This window comes from Homo sapiens, chromosome 18 (assembly GCF_000001405.40).
Source record: "Homo sapiens chromosome 18, GRCh38.p14 Primary Assembly".
Classification (NCBI taxonomy): domain Eukaryota; kingdom Metazoa; phylum Chordata; class Mammalia; order Primates; family Hominidae; genus Homo; species Homo sapiens.
This window is the reverse complement of record NC_000018.10, coordinates 71,771,118-71,777,350: the sequence shown is the minus strand read 5'-3', so window position 1 is coordinate 71,777,350 and position 6,233 is coordinate 71,771,118. Positions and strand designations below refer to the sequence as shown.

Sequence of the window (6,233 nt, the reverse complement as noted above, 5' to 3'; positions counted from 1 at the left end):
AACTGAGTGCAAGTTAAGTTCATCTACAGAAATCAGAGAATTACTAATAGAAATAGAAACAATTGTGGTTTTTCGGGAATAAACAATCTGGTGACATAAAAGAAATTTAACTCCGAAAACAAAATATTATATAGGCTCTTCAAATATATTATCTCACAAATTGATCATGACATAGGACAGATGAATAATATTTATTCAAAACAAATGTATCTCACATCAAAATGGTTTTCTTAACAAATCTCAAATAAGGTTTGCGTCTTAAAATGGAGATTAAAATTTTCTACTCATCTTTGTTTGCTACTGTAAAAAATATGAGAATATAATGTTCTCATTTTAACTTATGGATTATGCAGGATAGAACATTGTTGCATTGCACCTTCTCTGTAGAACCATTGAAACTTGATCACGCCTGTAATCTCAGCACTTTGGGAGGCCGAGGTGGGCGGATCACGAGGTCAGGAGATCGAGACCATCCCGGCTAAAACGGTGAAACCCCGTCTCTACTAAAAATACAAAAAATTAGCCGGGCGTAGTGGCGGGCTCCTGTAGTCCCAGCTACTGGGGAGGCTGAGGCAGGAGAATGGTGTGAACCCAGGAGGCGGAGCTTGCAGTGAGCCGAGATCACGCCACTGCACTCCAGCCTGGGCGACAGAGCGAGAGACTCCGTTTCAAAAACAAACAAACAAACAAAAACAACTTGAAAGAGCTATGACTCAGAGGTCAATTTTATCAATTTTATACTTAAAATTGATAAAACAGAGAGAGATTACATTTACAAAATAGACACTATATGTATTTATTTTACATATGAATTTAGCCCATACTGGAAACAAATTTATGATTGTTCATATTTTATAGCCATTTCAATAAACTCTTTGTGTCTTCTGTTTATACTCCCAGCCTGAATCTGAAAAGCACAGCTCAGTCCTCTTAGCTCTGTGGTCATGGACTGAACATCCTCCTGCTACGAAGGGTCTGTCACCCTGTGAACAGGCTGCTCTTAATCATGAGCGCTTAAAGTTACATAGTAGGCTTAATTACAAGCAATAATTGGGAGTTTATAATTATAAAATTACTTTTTTTGTTGTCGTTAATCTGCATGACCTCACCTCACTGTGCCACATGTAGGCAATGTTTAAGATTCTAACTTTGGGGCTCATCACTAATCCAGGCGAAGCAAGCTTTTAGGCCAGAATTACAGAAGCTAGATGGATTCCACAGATCTCAATCATGTTTCTCCAAAAGACTCTCTGAAAACTGACATTTAAAACTAGAAAGTGAAAGAGCACCAGTATTATGCTGCACGTTTACACAAGCAAATAATGATCATTTCACATAAATGACAGAGCACACATGGAGAGAAGTTTAACTAGTCCTGGCGGTGAATTTATTCTCTTCTCTGCTTTCTGTTAAGAGTGAACAGTTTGATGATAATTTATCCCTTCACAATAGGGATTTCTTCCCCTGGCTATTCTGAGTTCATAGAAGAAATGCCTGCTGCTACTTATCACTGCCAAATTTAATGTAACAAGCAGTGAGCAAAACACAGTTAGTTCTTACCTGAAGGGAACTTAGATTCTCATGAGGAATAGAAGAGAGTAACAAATATGCGACAAGGTGAGCTAATATTTACTGAGGATTTACAATGTGCCTGATATTGTTCTGATTTTGTTTACACTACTAAAATTCATGTAATCTTTATAATAACCCTATGAAGGTGAAATATTATAACTTCCATTATACAGATTTGGAAACTGAGGCACATAAATCTTAATTAAATCATCTGGTTTCATACAGCTATGGAATAACAGAATCTTTGAATAATAAACCTTAAAAATGCTCAAAGAAATGAAATTATAGTAAGTGCTATGAATAAAACTATAGAGATATTTTTAATTAGAGACTAAAGTTCCTTTTTATTTTAGTGGGAATACATGGGGAGTACCTCTGTACAATGGTGGCTTTGAATATAGTCCTGAGAAAATGAAGAAACAAGCCATGTGCCCACGTAAAGAAAATGTGTTTCAAGCACAGGGAAGAACAAGTGCAAAGATTATCAATAGGGATGTGTTTGGCTTTAAAGGATGAAGAAGTCATAGAGAGATGAACAAAATGACAAGTGACAAAGTCAGAGTAGTAGAGACACGATCAGATTATGAGGCATCTTGAGCTAAAAAAATGTAATTTTACTCTGGCCAAATAAGAAGTCATGAGGAAAGTTTAAAGTTTTAAAGAAGAGTTTACAGAAAAAGAGCGGCATGAAATGAGTAATTTTAATAAAACCTTAAAGAGATCACTGTGTGAAATTGTATAGATATAATAATGGCAGGTAAGAGGCTTTTGCAAATCCAGAAATGATCGATGATTTAGATCCCAAAGTATTGATCGGTATTTTTTCACTCCTTTTCTCATTATTGTAACTTGTGCGTCGTGTCATCTAGTATGTGTACTTGCATGTTAACCAAAACAAAGGTTCAAATAAATGGCTACTATGATGACAATGTGAACTTTAATCTTTTGGAGGTAATTTTGGTCTTTGGAAACACGATGAAATTGGCATGGTAGAAAGGAGGAACATAGCTAAATAGAGGGTAGACAATCAAGAAGTAAAGTAGAAGAGACCTTGGGGAAAACTGTCTCCATACCTGCTCCCCCTTCCAGCTACCTGGCGCACGATCTGCTTACAATGGTTCTGGACACTTTCCTGAATGGACATAGGACCATGATGAGAGAATCCCACCCAGCAAATAGGACACAACTTACCTCGAGGAAGTGTTATTCTATGTATGAAGCTGTGAGGGACCAACTCTTACTGAGGTGCAGACACCAGAAGACGGTAGGGTGGATTAGGGAAGTGATGATGGGGGTAGTGAGAAGATATTTTGTTTAGGATGTATTTTAAAAACAGTGTTTATAGAATTTTTTAAAGGGCTGAGTGTGGGTGCAAGAGCTCCATTTTGATTTAGAATTGATAAACACCTGCGCTTGCATGTTTATCATAGCACTGTCCACAATAGCAAAGTCATGGACTAAACAGTGTCCACCAATAGTTGACTGGATAAAGAAAATATGGTGTATATATACACCATGGAATACTATGCAGCATTTAAAAATGAAATTATGTCCTTTGCAGCAATATGGATGGAGCTATAGGCCATTGTCCTAAGAGAACTAACTCAGAAGCAGAAAATCAAATATTGCATATTCTCACTTATAGGTGGCAGCTAAACAGTGGATACCCATGAACACAAAGATGGAGATAATAGACACTGGAAACTAAAATGGGGGAGGGCGGGGTAATTAGGGTTCAGATATCATCTATTGGTTACAATGTTCAATATTTGGGTCTTGGGGGAATTTGAACCCCAATCTGCACATTATACATGTGTAAATCCATGAAAATGACTGAGGCAAGTCTGAATCATTTTATGAGGTTTATTTGGCAAAGTTAAAGATGAGCACAGGGAGACAAATCTATGTCTTTCTCCAAAGATGACTTTGAAGGCTTTAATATTTAAAGAGGAAAGGGCAAGGCTGGGCGCAGTGGCTCACGCCTGTAATCCTAGCATTTAGGGAGGCTGAGACCAGTGGATCGCTTGAGGTCAGGAGTTCGAGACCAGCCTGGCAAACAGGGTGAAACCCCGTCTCTATAAAAAACACAAAAATTAGCTGGAAATCGCTTGAACCCGGGAGGCAGATGTTGCAGTTAGTCGAGATTGTGGCACTGCACTCCAGCCTGGGCAACAGAGTGAGATTCCATCTCAAAAAATGTGTATAAAAATAAAAACAGAAAAGGGCAGACATTGAGGAAAGAGGGGAAAAAAATTAAAAGGTGTGATAGATAAGAGGCAAACAGTTACATCTTTTGAGTCTTTGATGAGCCTTTCACTGAATACACAATTTACATGTGAGGGCATGTTGAGGAATACTCACTTATGCCATGCCCTGGCTCAGTGAATCTGCATTTTTACATAACATAATGTAGACAATAGGGCAGAGGAAGCAATCAGATATGCATTTGTCTCGGGTGAGCAGAGAAGTGACTTTGAGTTCTGTCCTTTGTCCTGTACCTATGAAGATACTCTATCAGTTTACATTGCCAGGGTGAAATTCAACACAACTGTTTTAGGGTGAAGATCTTGGAACCACAGGGAATTTCCATGTCAGCAAGTTGTAAGGGAGGTGTGTAGTTTTTTTTTTTTATCTCTGTAGTCATCTTATTTAGGAATCAAATGGGAGGCAGGTTTGTGTGACCAAGTTCCCAGGTTGACTTTTTCCAACAGCTTAGTGAGTTCAGGGTCCCAAGATTTATTTTCCTTTCACACATATAATACCCTTGAGACAAAAACGCATATGTACTTCCTGAATCTAAGATTTTTTTTTTTTAAAGAGTTGACTGGGGAAATGTTAAGCCTGTGATGATTATTAAACATCCAAATGAGGATGCTGTATAGAAGAATAGTGTGGAGGTTTAAATTTGGAAAGGATCGTATTCAAAATCATGAGACAAGATATTCACCTGGGGAATATGTGGATTTACAAAAGAGAAGTCAAAGTACCCTGTACCTTGAAGAATTTCAGCATCTAGGAGGCAAATACTGGAGGAGTAATTGAAGAAAAAGACTGGGAAAGAATAACTATAAAATAAAAGGAAAACCTTGAGAGTACAGTTTTACTGAAGTCAAGTTAATAATAAAAAAGAAGTTGGTTTTCTGCTTTTATCCATAAGAAGGGAAAGCAACGTTGTTCAGTCCTGCTGAGTCCGGTCAGATGAAGACTAAGAACTGTATTCCTACTCGTTATTAAAGATCATGATACCAATTTAAAAGGAGTGCTAAGAAAAAAGCCTGATTCAGTTTGATTCAAAAGAATCAATTGAAATAAATTAAGGTGAACTGTAAACGCTCGCTGAATTTTTTTCTGTGAAAGAGCAAAAAATATTGTGATTGACTTCTTGATGTTCCAAAACATTTTTTTTTCTGTCTTCCGCAGTATTGAAGCTATACTGAACACATGGCAGATTCTCTTTCAGATAGGGTTCTAGAGGAATACCAGTTTTGGCTTCGAGATGCTTTTGCATGTGTTTCAGCTGGCAGGAGCGATGCAGTTATCTGCAACCCTCGTTGCTGTTGTCCTTACATCATTATGATTTCATGAAGCGAATTCTATAGGATGTTTTCCAGCCTCAGGTGTTCAAACAAATTGGTGGGTATGAGTTCTGACATGAGTTCATAATCCCTGGATTGCTGTTTCTTGTGCCCATTCTCCAGCTTTCTACTGTAGCAGCGAAAAGTTTCCAAAATGGGCTAGTATTGCTGCAGTGATTGACCTAGAGGGCAAGTCAACCGTCAGGCCATTACACTGATTTTGTAAGGTCTTGAATTCCTGTATTAAATATTTCACTAATTAAAATAACTAGATTGGTTTCCACTTCCTGTGCTGTTTCCTGACTGGTTAGGATAGGCAGTGCCTATCCTTTGCTGTGTCAGAACAGTGCATGACTCCTAAGTGTCCATTGTGTCCACAAAGAGACAAGTAACTTAATCACAACCACGTACTGAACTGTGGACATGCAATGAATAAAATGAAGGCTAGTTATGCCTTTTCTCAAATCTCATGTTGGTTTGTTTTAACACTATGCATATATAGAAGATGGAAGTTATAAGAATTACACTGAATGATAATAAACAACATGTTTTATTCTGATTTTATAAATTGAGGTGAGGTGTGATGAAAAAGGAGAAAAAGATTACATAGCCCAGCTCCAAATGATAACCACATCTTAAGAGAATCTATTGTACTTTGGAAGCAGGACAATGTACAAGAAGTATTTAAAATATTATTTTTCCGCAGAACACAAATGAGCAACTGTCCTAATAAATGTCACATGGTCAAATTCAAAAGGAGTAATTTAAAATATTAAATTGAACTGCAGAATAACTTTGGCTTAAGATGAGCATTTAAATGTAGCCTTAGCTACAAAGAATCACTACGTTAGTAACACTTTAAACTTAATTTGCAGCAAATATATAGGCTATCTGAAACTACTGTATTCTCAGTATTTTAGAGTTGTGCAGATTGAGATCAACAATAATCATGCCCAATGGAAAACTTAAACAATTTATAGCAAAGAAAATGAAGTTGAAACATAGATTTTTAGCAAGGCAATAGATTCTGATTAGCTAATGCATTTTTAAATGACCAAATATACCTAATGCTATAAGTAAATATAT

At 37.1% G+C, this 6,233-nt stretch overlaps 1 long non-coding RNA gene across 1 annotated transcript in view; it reads left to right on the top strand.

Annotated features, from left to right (window-relative positions):
- Nucleotides 1-6,233, top strand: part of LINC01899 (long intergenic non-protein coding RNA 1899) — a 49,612-nt gene that overhangs the window by 4,876 nt on the left and 38,503 nt on the right. The gene's annotated exons all lie outside the window — the stretch shown is intronic.